The 20,170-nt window shown below is 39.0% G+C and overlaps 1 protein-coding gene across 1 annotated transcript in view; it reads left to right on the plus strand.

Moving 5' to 3' along the window:
• SLC35F3 (solute carrier family 35 member F3) overlaps positions 1-20,170 on the plus strand; it is a 419,836-nt gene that overhangs the window by 81,692 nt on the left and 317,974 nt on the right. The gene's annotated exons all lie outside the window — the stretch shown is intronic.

Below are 20,170 nucleotides of genomic sequence, written 5' to 3' on the forward strand. Positions count from 1 at the left end.
CATAAATGTTTGTTCTGAATATTCTTCCAATTTTTAACATGGTGGTTTAGCTTCCAAATGTAGAAAATAAAGATTTATCTCTCATGATTTGTGCATCAACATCTAGACAGTTTATGAGCTTGGCTATAGCATATATGTATATGTATGTATTATATGTTGTTATATATTATATACTATTATAGCCAAGCTAATAAAATATACATATGTTTATGTGTATCTGTTTGAGGCATTTTGTATACTGTGAGTATATTTCTTCTCTTTAACTTTTTCCCTTGCAGTTCTTAATTGAATGATTTTAACATTTGCTTATTTTTGTATTTGTATCTTCCTAACTTAGCCCATACCCTTCAACAGATGAAAATCTCCCCTTGATGGGTTCAACCATCTAGATCATCTATTTCTTTCACTTTTTTATTTCTTTGCAGACATTCCTTTTGGAGTCTTCTGTTCTGCTGCAACATGGATTGATTACGTCCCAGGCTTTCTGGGATCTTCCTTCATCATCCTCCTGGAAATTTCCTTCAGTTCTTTTCTGTATTGGATCCTCTGTTTCCTCACCTCATTTTTTCTTTTTGTATGTGTGTTCTTTCTGATTTTATTGAGCCAAAACCTTCATTAGCAGCTTCAGAAATGATGCAAGAGGCTGGGAGCACTCATGCTTTTAATCCCAGCACTTTGAGAGGCTGAGGCAGGCGGATCACCTGAGGTCAGGAGTTTGAGACCAGCCTGGCCAACATGATAAAACCCCATCTCTACCAAAAATACAAAAAAAATTAGCCAGGCGTGGTGGCACATGCCTGTAATCTCAGCTACTCCAGAGGCTGAGGCACAAGAATCACTTGAGCTGGGAGACAGAGGTTGCAATGAGCCAAGATCGCACCACTGCACTCCAGCCTGGGAGACAGAGTGAGACTCCATCTCAAAAAGAAAGAAAAAGAAATGATGCAAGATTGCCACAAATTTGTGACCTTGTATGTTTGAAAATGCCTGTCTACTGCCCTTTTCTTGATTGAGATTTACTGAGTATGGAATTCTAAGTATCAATTTATTTCCTTTCTGGACTTTGAATGTACTTCTCCATTCTATTCTAGGTATATTGCAGTGTTGCTAAGGAGAAGTCTGAAGCTTTTTTGATTCCCCATCTTTTTATTTTGATCTATCTTTTCTCTTTGGAAGCTTTTAGTATATTGATTTTGCATCTGGTATTTTGACGTCTTACAATAATATGACTTGACCTTGTGACTTTTAAAATGATTTTTGCTGGCTATCTGGTGGAATCTCTCAGTCCAAAAGTTCACGTTTTCTCAGATTTGGGAATAATATTTATTTGCTCATTCATTCCCTCCCATTTTCCCTCTTCTCTCTCTCTGGACCACCTGTTACTCAGATGTTGGACTTCCTAGACTAATCTTTTAATCTTCTTATATTTGATCTCATATTTTCCAAATGTCTACCTTTTACAGAGATTTCTCCAAATTTATGTTTCAACCCTTCTATTTATTTCTTCCCTCCTGATACCATATTTTAATTTTAATGAGTTCTTTTATATTGTTATTTCAGTTTCTTCTCACTCCTCAAAGTCTTGAAGGTTAATAATTATAGCAATAGATTTTAAGTGGTCTTCTGCCTTCTTCATTGATTTTGTTTCTGTTTGCTTTTGTCTCAGTTTTATATGCTAGAATATTTCCTCTCATGTCTGTGATTTTTACTGTTCATTCATTTTTAAGCCAGAAATACACAAGGTCTATGTGGGAGCTCTGAGAACACGAGTGGTATTTATCAAGCAGTGAGCTTCATTTCAGGGTCACGGTCTAGGGATCAGATGGTTTCATTAAAAGACTCCAAAATATTAGTAACTGGAAATCTTTTCTCTTGTGTTTCTCCAGAAAGCAATCATCCAGGCTCTTGCTTAAAAGGTATGAAGCTGGTTGCTACTTTTTAGGGAAATGAATGGGGACAGAGGCTCACCACTGGATATGTAAACTTGAACTTAATTCCCTACTTTCAGTTGAGCCAATTGTATGTGGATATCCCAGAGCTCTTGCTTGTCTACACATATTCAGAATCTAACTGCTTCTGATACAGACTTGCTATCAGTTCCCCTATTGTCAACCCCACCTGTGCCTTTGCCTTCAGAAGTGCCTGGTGCTATTCGTGTCTGAGCTCTTTGAGGGTCCTGTGGCTCAAACATGCTTGCTTTCTGTCTTAATTCCCACCCTCCACATGCTCTTTCCATCCTCCACACAGGCACGCTTTCAGCTTCCTTTGGGTGTCCTAAGTAAGCTGCCATTTGTCCATCTGTTGCTTACTTCTAAAATTATATGGACTTCTCTGTCTCTTATAACTTTTTCTCCCATTTTCTCTGTTCTTGTGCAGTTTTGTCCTCGTTATCCTTTACTATCATTTAAGTGAGATTTCCAGAGAATTGTAAAACTTCTGCCAAGCCTTACCAGATGTTTCTCCTTAAGTTTCAAAAGAAGATTCCAACCCTACTCCTGCCCATTTGATTGTCAAAGCAGTGCAATAGAGTTGATTGAGAGGCAGCAGATCATGGTGGTGGAAAGCAAAGTTCTCCAAGAATGGACAGATGATCCACTGACATTAGAAAACTATTAAATTTCCATGTATATTTTAATCCAAAAATATAAAGAATTTAGATTCACACTGTTAATATTCTAATTTTTCATGTTTGATGCTGGATTGATCCATTTGTCAAGATGGTCACAGATTACACATAGTGCCCAGGACTTCCTGGTACCAGAGGAGTATAGGGAACTCCCTGACATAGCAAGCTGGACAGTGGGGCTGCACGCATTCTCTTTCAGAATGTTTAAATACATCACCCTTTGATAGTGCTCCAAGTTAGCTTGATCTGGCTAGTTTCATTACAACAATACTAAAATAATGCAATATTTACTAAGCTTTATAATGACAGAGAATTTCTATGAAAACTTTTTTGTTTCATAATGAAATTTTCTGTTTGTATTATAGCAAAATCCTCAGAAATGTTGACCTTAAGGATGTTATACATTTATGTTTTTCTTTTGCAAAAAGTCAAGCAATATAAGCTGTGGCCTTCTCTGTTACAACAGAGGCTGTCAGAATGTGGTACTAAGCAAATATTACACACAAAGAAACAAACAGATTCTATCCAATAAAGGGAAAGGTGATGTTTTCATGAGTGAGAAAATAACGTATTTTTAAAAGGAACTGGTGATTCATAGAGAACATTTTGAAACTACATGTTTTAAAATATTTCTAGTATTATATGAATATTTTCACTGAAAAAAATGCTACATGTTAAAACTCATACCTAAACTCTTTTTCAGAAATTAGAAACAAATTTTGTAACCAGTTTAAAGATATTCCTGAAATGAAGAGCTTTAGTAGGTTTTGAATCCATTCATGAAACATATATAAATATCTGACCTTCTGATTAGTTTGCACCTGAGTTCAAGAAAATTTGAAATTTACTAGCTGGGCTATCACAAAAATCTTTGACTAATTGGTGGATGAGATTGAAAAAAATGATTATCGTTATTTAATAAGAAACTCAGATATACATATTGCATTTTGATCCCCATGTCTTTGTATAGAATATTTTTTAGTCGTGAGTATCTGTGTCAAAGGAAACTTAAGTTACATTCAGATCTTTGGATCACTGTATCATAAACTAGCAAACCAAGGTTTTAAAAAATAATGATGTGTTATTCATAATATTAGTGATAGCAGAAGATTGTACTAGTAATAAAGAAAAAATTTAAATATTATTTTATTTCCTCTTTAGGTTTTTCATCCTTTAAAATATATGTTTTAGCGGTTTCACAATGGACATAATAGTATTTATTCATTAATACATAATTTACGTAAAAGTGACTCACATATACTAGAAGTGCATGCTCAAGTTTTATTTTAGTGTTTGGAGTGTATGAATTTAATAAAACACAAAGACTGAGTTTACAGCCAAGGATTTAGAGTAGACTGACCTTGATTCTAAGCTCAGCTTTGTTACTTATTAGCAATGTGAACATGGGAAAATTCACATCCAATTTTCTATTTTTTCCATTGTTTCTTTACTTAAATAATATTCAGGGGGTGGAAAAAATGGGACGAAGTTAGTCAAAGGGTACTCACTTTGAGTTGTAAAATCAGTAACTTCTAGAGACCTAATGTACAGCATGGTGACTGTACTTAATAGCAATGTATTGCATTCTTGGATTTTGCTAAGGGAGTAGATCTTAGGTATTCTCGCCATACACACACACACAAAGGTAACTCTGTGAGGTGATGGATATGTGAATTGACTTGATTGCAGTAATCATTTTACAATGTGTGCACATATCAAAACATTACATTGCATACCTTGAATACTCACATTTTAAAATGTGTCAATTACACATCCGTAAAGCTGAAAAAATACTCAAGCATCAAAAAATATATACAATATGTGTAAACTGTTTAATTAAATGCCTAGAAAATAGTAACTGCAAAATAATTGGCATCTGTTGTAAAGGTATGTATGAAATGATAATGAAGATTCTGTTGACAGTGATGATGGTGATGCAGCCTGCAAATCTGCCCTTATGTAATAGAAGGGAACATCTGTATTCCACATCCTTTCAGAAGTGAGCATTGTGAACTCTCCAAGGCCCCTCTTTTATTAAAATGATGTTCCTGGTAAATCTTCTAAAGAGAGACTGCAAATATGTGCAGTGAGTCCTGCTTTCCATCGCTGCAGTGGTGTCAGTAACTGTGCCCTTCTTCCTAAGGCTGGACCTCTGGCACAGCCCCAGCATCTTGCAGGTAGTACTCCAGAAAGCCACAGCTGTAGTGAGCAGAAGGGAGTGAAGACAGAAAGGGAAAGTGGGAGGGCAGCCTGTCTGGGCCCCTGTGGCAGCTTCCAAAAATCATCTCCCACAAATGCTTACCCTCTGTGCTGTAGATGCTTCCCAAATACACTTTGTGATTTGAATGTTCTTGAAACGCCCGTGCCTTGCCTAATGCTCCCTTTGCTCTTCATGTTGGGAATACTTAGCTCATCAGATCCTGCAAACTAACTTCCATGGAAGAAAAAAAAAGAAAAAGAAAAGAAAAATAAAGAAAAAAGAAAAAAAACTAGAGGGTACAATTACCTGGCTGCTGATTCAGACTTAGAGAGTGTTCAATTCCTCCTTTGTTCTTGGATTACTCTCTCCTGTCCAAAAGCGATGAACTTTGCCAGCTCATTGGGCCCCTTGTGCTATAGTGTTAAGGAAAACTTACCCTAATTTGTTTTTTACTTATGACCACTACAAGTATTTTAGCTAATTAGTGTCTCTTTTTTGTTCTGGCTACCAGGAAGCTCAACAACTAACATAGTCTGTATTTTGCAACTTCAAAGGTACCTTTCATGCATTTAGAGGACTAAGTTTTGCCTCCAGCTACTTTTCATCATCATCATCAGCATCATCATTATTTTGCCTGTTTATTTAATTTTATATTATTACCTGCATATTACATATTTTTATGAAATACCCCAAAATCAAGTTGAATAAAACAAAATGAAAACATAAGCCTGTGAATTTTCCTAACACAAAGAAAAAGAACTTCTCTTGAAATATTTAATGGATAATTGCTCAAGCCTCCATTGCATTGATAAGAAATGGGAACATTGTGGCGAGTAAATGCAGGAATTTGTAAGGTCAGTTGGAGAATAGAAGCAGACACCCAACCCACACGATGGTGAGCAACCTTCCAATCCCAGACGGCCGTGGTGCTCTCTGGACAAGAATGTGAGAGGGTGGGATTGGTGGGCAAAGGGCAGGAGGGACACCCCCTCTGTTCATTTATTTTGAGATCTGTTTGCCCCATCACACTAAATAAATACAATAAGTGAATGCTATTTTATCTGGTAAAGGAACCCATCTGTCTTAGTCCATTTCTGTGTTGGTATTAAGAACACCTCAAGCTGGGTAACTTATAAAGAGGTTTATGTAGCTCATAATCTTGCAGGCAGGGAAGTTCAAGAGCGTGGCCCTGACTTTTGGCAAGGCCTTTCTTGCTGCATCACATCATCTCAGAGAAGGTCGACGGGGAAGTGGACACATGTCAAGGGTGGAAATATTGAGGGGTGTCCTGGCTCTGTAACAACCCACTCTCTTAGGAACTAATCTGTTCCCATGAGAACTAATGCAGTCTTGCAAAAGAGAGAACTCACTCACTACCTCGAGAATAGCACCAAACCATTCATGAGGGGTCTGTCCTATGACCCAAACACTTTTCACTAAGCCCAGTTCTCAATGCCATCACACTGGGGATCAAATTTCAACATGAGTTTTGGTGAGACAAACACACTATATCCAAACCATAGCACCATTGTTAACAATCCAAATATACAATGATTCTTACAAGAGTTCATCTCGATGGGGAATGTAGCAGGGACAGGGATTATTACAAGAGCATCTTAGAAAAGAGAGGGCATCTGGAGTGAGATGTGAAGCAAAGGAGAGAAAACAGAAATGGAAAGTGGGAGGGCAGCCTGTCTGAAAGGGAAAGTGGGAGGGCAGCCTGTCTGGGCCCCTGTGGCAGCTCCCAAAAATCATCTCCCACAAATGCTTACCCTCTGTGCTGTAGATGCTTCCCAAATACACTTTGTCATTTGAATGTACTTGAAATGCCCGTGCCTTGCCTAATGCTCCCTTTGCTCTTCATGTTGCTCTTCAAACTGACTTCCATGGAAGAAAAAAAAATCCAGAGGGTACAATTAGCTGTCCACCGTGCCCGGCTAATTTTATATTTTTAGTAGAGACGGGGTTTCACCATGTTAGCCAGGCTGGTCTCGAACTCCTGACCTCAAGTGATCCACCCAACTCAGCCTCCCAAAGTACTGGGATTACAGATGTGAGCCACCGTGACTGGACCAAACATTTTTACTGAGCTCTCAGTGAGCATGAGATGGTCAGTTTTGCTGGGCTGGTGGTCCAGGGAAGTAGAACTCACCCTTGGAAGAGAAAGCGATATGCTGAATGGGAAGATCTAACTTCCTTAACCTCGTGAGAAACTTGCTTGGAAGCCCCAGCTCACTAGCTAAAACTCACAGCTTTCTTTATGATAGATTCATCAAAATTCTCTTTTAAATCTGAAGGGCATCATATAATAAATTTTTCTCATACAACTAGCCTTTCTTAGGTAATCAAAGACCTTCAGTGCTAAGGGCCCATTGAGGGGCTCTCTGCTCTAATACCCTCATTTTACAGCTGAGGAAGCAGAGATCCAGGCCATTAAACGATGCATCTAAGATCACACGGATCTTAGGGGCAGAGTCGAGCCCAGAGCTGGCCTTTTGAAGTCTAGTTCAGTCACTATTCTCAACAACACCTGACCTCCTGAAATCTCGGATCCTGGACCTGAGTCAGCATAGAGTTCATCTGCACTGGTGACTCTGTATCTGTTCTCAGCTCAGCTAATACCTGGGGAACGATTAATGGCTCTTCTCAAAACCATGGTCCCTAATTGTACCTCTCAGGAAGTACAGATGACTCAGCTGCCCAACCTGCCGCATGCTCAAATGAATCAGAGTGAGGTGTTTTGAGCAGTTTCATTGTGTGAAAAGACTGTCAGTTGCCTGGTTACCAGAGTGAAAAATATAAAGTAATTGTGCTTCTCTATAGCCATGGGGGAAAGGTATTTAATTGTCACCGTGCAATCTGAGAATTAGAGTCAAAGGCCAAGTTCCTGACAGATAGATTTGAAACATTTGTTACTTTCTGCAGCTTTGTCTTGCCGTGTTATTGGCATAGGTCATGCAGAGACAGGCCAGTGGAGAAGAGAGTAGCAATTATATTAATGATAGATAGATAAAATCGTATGAGCCCTTACTATGGACTAGGTAGGATCTGAGTACATGATCTTTGAAACTTTATAAGAAGTTTTTGAGATAGGTGCTCTTATTATGCCCATTTTACAGATGAGGAAACTGAGGATGAGAAAGGTTATCCAAAATGGCAGACCTCATAAGAGTGCATAGGGTAGGAATTTATACTCAGGTTGCTACAACTCAAGAGTGCAGCTCCTAACTACAACCCTATTCAGCTTCTCTGTAAATGTCAGAGTGTGGTGTGTATCAGCCAATCCTCCTGTAGGAACACCGGCCTGTTTTCTAAATGCTGGATACTGGTTAAGTTGTGAATCAAAGCAGAGGCAGTCTGCCTTGTTCCTTCTTGACTTTCATTGGAAGAGCCTGCTCAGCCCAAGGGAGTTAATGAGGCTTCCCTACCCTTCTTTCTCCTTATTCCAGAATGCAGCCAAGGATTACATCTAGAGAGGTTTCCTGGTATAAAAGTATTTTATGGAAATTAAGTGATTGGGTTGTAGCCCAGGCTTAACCACTGGCTCTCACATGACTTTGGAAAAGGCGGTTCCCCAGCCCTCAATTTCCTCATCTCTAGAATGGATTGTTGAATAGGCAGTTTCTAAGTTTTTCGAGCTCTTAAACAAACAAGAAAAAAAAAAACCCAAACCAAAATACTCCAAAATTTGAAATTACATCATAACCTGATGGGAAGAACACAGATTCTGGAGATAGCTCACCTTGGTTTGAGCCCCAGCACCTTCACATCTTGTGTGAATTTTATTAAGTTAATCTTCATAAACCTCAGATATTACATTTGTAAAAATAGAGTGATCTACCTCATAGAGTCATTAGGAGGATTAGACATGCTACCATGTGTGCAATGCACAGCACAATGCCAGCTACAAGTACATAAATGTCCAATAAATGTTAACCGTCATCAACATCATCATCAATGGGAGATATGGGATTAAAACTAGTCTAGAACTCAATACTAAGTATATGTGTAAAACATATCCTTGATCAAATACTGACATACACATTTTTCCAGAGGACAGAGGCAGATATATAGGTCTGGAGGTTCATGGAGTGGGGATTTGCCATTAGTGCTTCTGAATGAGGGCAGAGAATGGTTTGTTGTGAAGGAGATGGCAGGAGAGTCAGGCATGATTGCAAGCTGTGGAGATAGAGGGTGGGAGCCCCTGGCCAGATGGATAAACCTGAGCCTGGCTGGCGTTTCTGCCTGTATATTCCCATATTCATGGGCGAGCATTTATTTTAAATGAAGTGTTAAGGATGCCTGATCCCTCCACTTGTGTTAAGACTGATTACTGATCTTTGATGGGAAAGCTGCTTTGATCTGTGATAAAGTCAGCCAGGCAGTCAGCATCCCAAATTGCTTCTACATATTTTCTGATGACTTCACGCGGAGGCTTTTCTTGGACAAGTCTCAGTATAACAACAGCAGCAGAGGAGAGGAAGGCAAAGGTCCCTGCTTATCCCTGGTAAACAGCACGTGTCTCATGGCATGCATCTGGGCACCCCATTGTTACAAGTTCAGCAGCCTTCAAAAGTCAGTGAGCCTGTGGACTACATCCCTCCTGCAGCAAGGAGGCAGGACTGTAACGGGTGGGACCTGTGCCTACTGCTAAATCAAACATCTGCAGCCTCTTGGTTAACCCCCATTCTAGTATATTTTTCTAGCATTTCTTTCTGGCTCCTTTAGGATTAGCATAGCTTGAGAGAAGAGGAAAGCAAAGTTTTTCTTATCTTTATTCTGAGTGCCTGGCAGACTTATCAATTGAACAAAATTGAATTGTCCTCAACTGTGGGCATTTTATTGACATCTTTGAACAGTTGGAGCATTTTATTAATATTTTATATATATACACAGTTGGCACTCCATATTTCTGGGTTTCACATTCATAGATTCAACCAATCAAGAATTGAAAATATTCAGGAAAAAACGGTTAATTGTGTCTGTACTGAACATGTACAGACTTAAAAAATTATCGTTGTTCCCTAAACAATACAGTATAACAGCTATTTACATAGCATTTACATTGTGTTAGAGATTATAAGTAATCTAGAGATAACAAAGTATATAGGAGGATGTGTGTAGGTTATATGCAAACACCATGCTACTTATCTACGGGAATGGAGCATCCTCGGATTTTGGTATTTGAGGAGGATCTTGGAACCAATCCCTCATGGATACTGAGGGGCAACTCTGTATGTGCATGTGTTATTCCTAGTGCTCGGCCCACCAGGTGTGAATTTGGAAGGGTTGCCAATTCAGGTGAGGAAAAGTGAGCTAAGAGACATCCTCAGGGGAGGATGAGGACTTGGGGGGAATTTGTGGGTTCCCTGACAGCCTCACACTGGTTGCCAAACCCTTCCCTCTTTGGAATGTGCCATGGCAAGGCATTTATTTCCTCACATGGTGATCATTTTCACTCACACATAGGGTGTGTCCAAGGGTATTCCACTCTACAATGATTAATAATGATTAGCCATCATTGGGGGTTGGGAGGGACCAGGCTCTGTGCCGAATGGCACTTATTTGCACTCTCTCATTCGATACTCTCAGCAAGCAGGCAATCTCATCCCATTTTAAAAAGTGAGAAAACTGAAGTTCGACTTGGTTCAGAGGCTTGCTGAAATTTGAATAGCTGGCAACTGGCAGAATGGGATTTGACTCCATATTGGGTGACCCTGTGACCCCCCACCCCTTACTCTTTGTAACCACCATTTTATATTTGACATTTTGGGGTGTTTTTCGATTTCACATGTAAGTGAGATCATCTGGTATTTGTCTTTTTGTGTCTGGCTTATTTCATATAGCATAATGTCCTTCAGGTTCATCTATCTTGTCACAAATGACAGGATTTCCGTCTTTTTTCAGGCTGACTATTCCATTGCATATATACACCACAATTTCTTTCTCCACTCCCCTGTGGTTGAACACTCGCGTTGCTTCCACATCCTGGCTCTTCTGAATAGTGTTGCTGTGAACATGGGCGTGCAGACATCTGATGAGCTTGTGATTTCATTTCCTTTGGGTATATATCCAGCAGAGGGATTGATGGGTCATAATGATCATTTGAGTTTTAATTTTGGGGGTATCTCCATACTGTTCTCCATAATAGCTGTACCAATTTACACTCCCCCCACAACAATGAAAAAAGGGTTTCCTTTTCTCCACCTCCTCATCTATACTGTCTTTTTGATGATAGTCACTCTAATGGGTGTGAGGTGATATCTCATTGTGGTTTTGATTTGCATTTCTCCAATGATGAGTGAGGCTGAGCACCTTTGCATATACCTGTTGGTCATTTGTATGTCTTCTTTGGAAAAACATGCGTTCAGATCCCACTTTCAGCCTTTCTTGATCCTCCTACCCTCATAATAAGCATCGTTCTCCCTGGGGGCACACCATTCCTTCTTGCACCACAATACTGATTCTTTTCTTTTCTATGCTCTTTCACTTCTTTTATTTTGAGAAATATAATATTCTGAGTGGGAATGAACAACTGCTAACATGTTCATATTTTCTTTCTTTTTTTTTTCTTTTGAGACAGAGTGTTACTCTGTCATCCAGGCTGGAGTGCAATGGCACAATCTTGGCTCACTGCAACCTCCGCCTCCCAGGTTCAAGTAATTCTCCTTCCTCAGCTTCCCAAGTAGCTGGGATTACAGGCACCCACCACCATGCTTGGCTAATTTTTGTATTTTTAGTAGATATGGGGTTTCACCATGTTGGTCAGGCTGGTCTCGAACTCCTGACCTCAGGTGATCCACCCACCTCGGCCTCCCAAAGTGCTGGGATTATAGGAGTGAGCCACCGCGCCCAGCCCGTATTTTCTTCGAGTCTATTTTTAATTAAAAACGAAAGCATTATAGATGGATATGTGTGTATTCATATATAATATATACTATGGTTCTGCGTGTTTAAATTCTAATGTCTCATACTATAAGCAAATAAAGTCTGGTTCAATCATTTAAACTGCCCCTGTGGTATTCTATCCTATGAGTATGCCCAATTCAATCATTCTCCTACCTAGCTAGCTTCTCATTGTTATATGCATTGGATATCAGGGATTTGTCATATGTGTTGCAAATATGATAGCATCTAATTATATAATTAATATATCTCTTCTTCCTCTACGTAGCTATAAACTCTTTCGGGGCAAAAATCATGTCGGATTTTTCTCTGTGTTCCCAACACTTACTGAGTATTATACCAGATACAGAATGACCATTTGTTGGAATGTAATGGAACAGGGCTGGAATGTGGAGGACTCTTCAGAGGAGATGCTATGCCTGACTAGTGTAGTGATTTTCCACTTAGGAAGGGATTTCTCTCAGGAAATCATACGAGATTATAAAAAAGCCCTATCAAAAAGAACAGTAATGGAGATGTTCTCTAATGAACTGTTCAACTCAGTAGACACTAGTCACATGGGACTGCTAAGCGCCTAGAATGTGGCTAGTCTTATTAAGAAACTGAATTTTAAATTTTATCTAATGTTGATTAATTTAAATTTAAATAGCCACATGTGGCTTGTGACAGTTATAGCAGCAGGAGTTAAAGGAACATCTAATATCTGATGATAGTGGGAAATAGAGGATTTTACTGATGTGTTCTTACGTGATCATTTTGGTACTTATTAATGATGAGTACTTTAATAAATATTTTGCAAGTATCAGCCTCTGGGTGCCAGACAGTTTCTTCACCTACAGAGTACAGCCCTTGATGCTTACTTTATAGGATTACTGATGGAGTTAAATAGGGTAATTATGCAAAGCCCTTGAGCCTCATGCTCAATACAGACGGCAGCTGTCAGAGTTCTCATTTTTCCATTATTACTACATAGCAAGCATTAGGGATCTGGATATGACTGTCAGTTCCTGGCCTCAAGCTGGGAAGACAAGACAGGACAGATGCAACCCAGGGTATCCCCTTTGTCTAAGCTGTGTTCCTGAGACAAGCTGAGGTCATCCCACGTTTTTTCCACCGCGTCCCAATTACCCACTGACTTAGAATATAAACTCCAGGATATTTTAGCACCAATTCCGAGTGATCATTCACGGCAGAGCTTCTGAGCTCTTTTAATCCTTCTAGGCCTTGTCACCTTGTGTCCATTGTCTCTCCTGTCCCCTCCATTCAGCACGTCACAAGAACAGTTTCCCCAAAGCACCACTCTTATCCTATTTCTCTGCCGCTCCATATCTTCCAAGGGCTCCTTATTTCCTGGAAGCCAAAGCCTAGGTTCGATGCCATCCAGGCTGATCTCTGCTGTTCCGTGTGGGGATTCTGCTTTGCCGGACTGTTTGCTGTCATTTCAGCACATGTTCAGCTTTCCTGTATTGTGCCTTTGCTTGTTTCCTGTTTCGCTTCCCATCTTCAGTGCCTCCACTTATCCCTTCCGGCCCTGCTCTCCTGCCTACTGAGACTCTATCCCCCAGTGTCAGTCAAAGGCTGCCTCTGCCATGCAAGTGGCCGAGCCCATTTGTGCTCTGCAGCACACTCTTTCATACCTCGTATTTTCTGTTTGTGCTACCTTACAGTGTATTTATTTGCATTAATTTCCTTTCTAGACTTTAACATTTGTGAAAACAGGGATGGCATCTTTACCTCTCTGCATCCCTCACTGCATGAGTATACCAAACACAGAAGATGATAAAGATTTGTTAACAAGTGAATAAATAAATGAAAACATTTCAACATTTAGGATATGATTTCTTCTTTAAAGCAAAGTCCTTTTATCATGAGAATGACCCCTGAACTCTCTCGCACAATATGACAATGTTCCTAGAAAAGCCCTTTAAAGGGCTATATAAAATCACAAAATGCATCCTCTTAATCACAAAAACTCTGATCGCTGTGTAACGAGGATATTCAAAGATTTTTAAAGTGAGTATGAATACTCACAGTGAATCACAAGGGTTCTAACTAAGCAAAGAATTAATATACGCAAAGAGTAGAAAACATGGGCTGCGTTCCATTTCATTGGTGAAAAACAGCTCCCTATTCCTAGTGCAATAAGCATGTATGTAGTTAGTTAGGATTGCAGTCCAACTCAGAAACTAAAGATGGAATTTAACTCCTTGCCTTTCACTTTGATTTTGCTTTCAATATAGGTTTGATATTGACATTACCATGAAAATAGTTTACCTTTGTTCCCAATTTTACGCAATGGCAGGGGACACATTGCTGACTAACAAGGCTCTCTGAAATCAACAATGTATGTATTGGACATCTTAATGTGCTTGGCCCAGTACTAGGTGCCACAGGAAATTATTAAGAAAGACATGGAGGTGCTCATCATATCCAACAGAGAGATGGTTTATAAACCATTGCTGCGTACAAGCAGTGCTACTGATTTCTGGATTAGACTACAAAAGCAATTGTTGAGTGCCCCTCTGTGACCAAAAACTGGAATGGAACAGAAGCTAGGAAAGGGCTGAATTCACTGCAAATGGAAATGTAAAAATCCAGCTGTTTTTGATTTTTTATAGTACAAATGGGAGTTAGCACATTGTCGAGCTTACAGAGGAAGTCACACAGCTACCCCTTTGTCAGGGCTTGTAGGGGACAGGCCAGAGCGGGTGTGGAGCTGTTGGGGAAGCTAATTTCTTTATTCAAGCTGAGCTCTGCTTCCTCTGGCTATTGTTGCTGTAATTGGCATCAAGGGAGGATGGCTGCCACTGTTTGACAGTGACAATGACATTCTCCTCAAGGGCTAATACTTTAATTTATGAGAGACAAAGAGAAGGAGCAAGTCTTACGCCAAGAGGCAGGAGTACAAAGAGAACTTGATCCGTACAGATGTCAGCTTCTTGAAAAGAGAGTCCTGACAGGGCAGTTTGGCCTGTAACGTGCAGCCACATGACACATCTGGAAAAGCTCTTTTTTTGTGTGAGGGATGATGCCTATGGCTGGCCTGCTGGACCAAGATGGATGGCAAGGCAAACATCTGTGGACCTCAAAGTGTTCACACTTTCAGAGATTTTGTCATGCTTTATGACATATCAAGACCTTAAATTAACATGTGGACTTCTTTTTAATGTATCAAGGAAAGCCAGTAATGCAGGTGGCATCTTTCTTTTTAACCAACTCTTGATCAACAAGCAACACTTACTTAAATAAGCTCTGGAAAATGCCAGTGAGGCAATAGTGGTTGCTGTTCATTTACTCATATGACAAATATTGGAAATTGGATTTCCAATATTGAATGAATGGCTATTGTCATAATTGTTATCAGTCATGCTAAGAAAAGTTTTCATTTATATTGTGCTTTATAAGGCTCCAAGTGTTTTTGCCTAAGTATTCCCTCTGGATTCTCATGATAATACTAGCAGGTATACAAGGTAGGTGTCACTCCCCTTTTACATGCAAGAAAACTCTGAGGCCAACAGAAGTGACCAGGGGTATTACTGATGCAGTAGAGACGTTATTACTGTTGGTAGTTGATTATTTACAGGTTCTGCAGTTTAAGAAATCTTTTTCTTATTCAGTGGGAAAGAAAAGACTTTAGCAAGGAAGAGGGCAAAACCATAGATTGATTTTACACTCTGCATCCTACTATGTGTATTTGAAATTTCTTGGATGAATCCACTATTCCCCCATCTTGCAGGGAAATATGCACTGAATGATTTTCTATTTTGGCATATCCATCATCTTCTTTGCTGGCCCTCATCATCAAGCTGTCCTAAATTTCCAAAGGCTTACTATGAGCACTTAGTAACAGTGGCAAATCCATTTAAACAAGTGTGTTTGCTCCAATAGCTGAAAAGCACTCACTGACTCACCCTGTAGGAGGACCAGCCTCTGCCTGGGGGTGAGTTGTGCTGCTGGCTGTAGACAGGACTTTCAGCATGAACAGAGAGTCTTGCACCTCTCTATTTTTTTTAAGTAAGTGTTTTCATTTTATGATACTTTTGGATTTACAGATCAATTGTGAAGATAGTACAGAGAGTTCCTATATATCCAGTACCCAGTTTCCCTATTATTAACCTCACACAAAACATTTGTCATAATTGAGGAACCAGTATAGATGCACTATTGTTAATGTAAGGCCACATTTTATTTAGGTGTCCTGAGTTTTTCCCTAAGGTCCTTTTTCTGTTGTAGGATCCCATCCAGGACACCACATTATCTTTATTGCCATCATGTCCCCTTAGATTCCTCTGAGCTGTGACAGTGTCTCAGACTTTCTTTGATTTTGAAGACCTGGAAAGTTTTGAGAAATATTGGTTAAGTATTTTATAGACTGTCTCACAGTAGGAATTTGTCTGATTTTTTTTATCATGATTAAACTAGGGTTAGGGTTTGGGGAGAAAGACCTCAAAGGCCACGTTTATGATGTTGTGTCCAGGTTACATGCTACCCACTTGACTTATACAGTTGACGTTGGCCTTGATCACCTGGCTGAGGTTGTGTTAGTCAGATTCCCCCACTATAAAGTTACTCTTTGCTCCACTCCTTCATACCATACTTGTTGGAAGGAAGTTGCTATGCATAGCCCACCCTTAAGGAGGGTTGCGTCTACCTCCTTGAAGGTGGAGAGTCTACATAAATCATTTGGATTTCTTCTACAAGGGAGAATTGTCTCTCATCCCCCATGTATTTATTCATTTACTTATGTCAGTATGGACTCATGGATATTTATTTTATCCTTTGAGCTACAACCTGACACTATTTATTTTCTTGTTTGCATTGTTCTGGATGTGCCTACTAGCCACTCTTTCAGTTGGCTACTATGTTCCTTTGACATACCTCCATCATTGTGTCTGACATTTTTGTTGATCTTTTTGTTTTGAGCACTTTCTTAATTCCTGCCGCTACAAGATACTCCAGACACATTTTGTATGTTTCCTGCCCCAGTCCTAGAATCAGCCATTTCTCCAAGAAGCCCTGGTTCTTTTCGTTGAAGAGTGGTGTTGGAAACCAAGATCTGTGTGAATCTTTTCTTCCCATTGGTAACAATGTTTTTAAATATTTGCAGGAAATGGATAAGAAATATATGAAATATTTTGCTTCTAGGGATGCTGGAGAATTAGTAATCAAGTCCAACTGTCTCCATATCAGGACCTGAGGCCTGCAGGTGTTATGTCACTTTTACAGATCACTCCCATAGTCAGTGGAAGAGCAGAGGACTCTTTATGTTTCACTATCAGAGACAATAATATGACAGGTAATTGATGGTTTTTCCAACAGGAAAAAACAGATTATTCAGTAAATGAGATTGCCCCATGGGTGAGCCATACAAAACAAAGTTAGGCTTCTACAACCAGCCAATTTAACCAATAAGTTAAAATCCAAACATTAAAAAATGAAACTTTATTAGAAAAAAATGTGGCAGTATATTTGCACAAGCTTACAGGAGGGACAGCTTCTTAAACAGACACACACAAAAGGGCAAAATCCATAACAGGAAAATATTGTTAAATCCAACTACATTAGCATTTAAACCTTATGGATTACAAAGGACAGCATGAAACCAGTTCCAGGCTAAGGGAAGTTGTCATGGAGGAATACGGAATGAACTCCTACACATGATAGTCAAACGACAAACCAAGAAATGGTAAAATAAGAAATGCAAGCATTCGGTTCACAAAAAAAGGAAAATCAGAATGGTCAATTAAATGATGCTCAGCCTTACCCCTAATTAGGAGAATGCACATTAAAGCACTAATGAAGTATAATTTTTCATTGATCAGATTGTCCAAGAATTTAGCAGTGTGATAATATGGACAGCTGGCAATGTTAAGAAAGGCAATACTTATATATGACTGATGGGAGAATAAATGACTGCAGCCACTAGGAAGGGCAATTTGATAGAATCTAATAACACTGTCACCAAGCTTCCCCTATGCCTTAGAAAGTGAGTTTTAAAATATCTGTCCCAGAGAAATGCAAACATAGATCCACGTGGATACGACAAATGGGAATGTTCTCTACATCATTATAACAGCAAAAAATTAGAAACAATCTAATGTCTGTCAATAGAAGGATGTATAAATAAAATATACTAAATGATTACAATGGAAAACAAAACACATTCAGAAGGAAGGAATGAATGAGAGCTGTCCTTTCATCCATTTTATCTATTTTCTGTCTGCATTTCAAAATGGATATATCTCAGAAATATTTCTCAGTTAAAAGGCAAACTGCAGAAGGAAACAATATTAACACACAGAATAGTGTAATATATTTTCTATGTTTATATCCATATAGATATAAAAGTATTTTTAAAGGTAGTTAATGACACTCAATTATCATAATTTTGGTTATAATTGGGGGTGATAAGGGGAGTGGGATTGGAAGTGTGGAACAAAATATATGCTGATGGTCTATTTTTAATAAGGAAAATAGACTCTGTATTGAGTCAAATTAAAAACTAATTTTGAAAAGAAAAACTTGTACAGAAAGAAATTACAGAAAAGGAAAGATAATAAATTACAGCTCTTCATAAAGGCAAACTGCTTTTCTAACCATACTTATCAAAATTCCAAGAGCTGTCATTTATTTCTGAAGGGAAAATAGCTTTTCTTGGTTAGAAATCAGGTAATTTTCTGATAAATGCACCTGTATCATGCCCCCAGTACATGAGTCACTGTAATTTTCCTCTCTTCTTTATTTTCAAATGGCTTTTCTACCTTAGAGGTTCTGAATCATCCTCTCACTTGCAAATTTGCAACTCAGTCAATATGCATTAAGATGGAAATTCATTAATCATAGAAGCAATAATCTTTAGATAAAAGGCATTTATTTAACAGAATTTTAAGGGGAGAATCTTAAGCAGGAAATGAAAGAATTTTTTATTCTTGATTAAAAGAATAAAATAGAAAAGCTGAAAATCTTTAAAGTCTTTTAAAAAGATTTTAAAGACAAATTTTTATTACTCGTTGATTCCTTCAAGCCTGGATTGGAACCACAAGAGGTCAACCACTTCAGTCTCCTGAAAAAACCTAACCTAAACCCTAGATGACATTTTGCAGATCTCTGGGAATGAAAATTTAGGTTATCAGAATGTTCTAAAACTACCCAGGACTAATAATAAGGAAGCAATTATTTTTTCCTTAATTTTAATCTAAATCTTACGGTGAAACCATTTTCTTGAGCTCAGCTTCATATGAGTGACTTGTTCGATGTGGTACATATGACGTTGAGTCACCTTACAACCTGACTTTCCTTATTTCCTGATCATCATATACTTGGTGGATTGTTTCCCTGCCTCCTGCAGATCTAATTCTTGTTAATTCACCAGGTGAAATGAAAATAAACCTCCACTAAAGCAATGGAGGCTGCTGCTGCTGCTGACGACAAATAGATAACGTTGATAATGACAAATAGATAATATTGATCAGTGGTGATGTGTGGAGCCAATGGGATTTCTGTGGGGGATGACTGTTTGGTGATACAAACATTTGTCTCTATGCATATGCTAATTTGGATGCATATCTATGTTGTTGCTAAATGCCACAAAATTAGGGGCAGGAAGAGGCGCCCTAACCTGATTCTTGAAGTGAGAGTTACAGGAACGGCTCTTGCCATCTCTAAAGCCCAGAGCCAGACAAAGTGAGATTGAGACAGAGGTCACTAAATCAAGTTGGATGGTTTGTGTGGAAAGACTACGAAGCATTAGAGGCAGGACTCTGGCCACAGAGACAGAAGACTGGATCACGCATCCTGACTCTGCTGCCACCCCAATCTCTTAATTTTGGGCAAATTTTTGAACCATGCTTTTTTTCTCTGGGAGATGAGCACATTGACTTAGATAATGTTTATGGTTCCTTCCTACTGATATATTCCAGGATGATGCATTGGTACTTCACTACCTCGATACTTCAGAAGAAACAGAATTAAAGAGTTTCCCTGGTTCTTCTTTTGAATCTGAGACATAGGAGAGGTTTGAATCTACTGGAGCCCATCCTTTATCTCCTTCAGGCTGGAGGCTGGGAACAGTGACATCACTCTTCTCAAGACTCTGTTTCCCCTTATATATGACTGATGGGAGAATAAATGGCTAGTTCATATTTGCAGTGAACCAGGCATTTTCTATGAACCAAGCCACGTAAGTTTATAAGTACAACTCCAGGAACAAATGGACAGACTAAAATTAAGATTTTTCTGAAAAACCCAAGAGATAGAGTGATTTATTTTGCTTCACCAATTGCATAGCCACCAAGAGCAATCTTTGGTTACCTGATCCACAGATCAAACTCCTTATCCCTATGCTTCTCAAACTGTGCAGACCCCTTTTAACGGGGAAAAAAATTCATAAACACCCAATGTTTTCTCAGTCAATAGAATTCTCACTGCCACTACACAGA

The sequence above is a fragment of the Homo sapiens genome, chromosome 1, assembly GCF_000001405.40.
Source record: "Homo sapiens chromosome 1, GRCh38.p14 Primary Assembly".
NCBI lineage: Eukaryota > Metazoa > Chordata > Mammalia > Primates > Hominidae > Homo > Homo sapiens.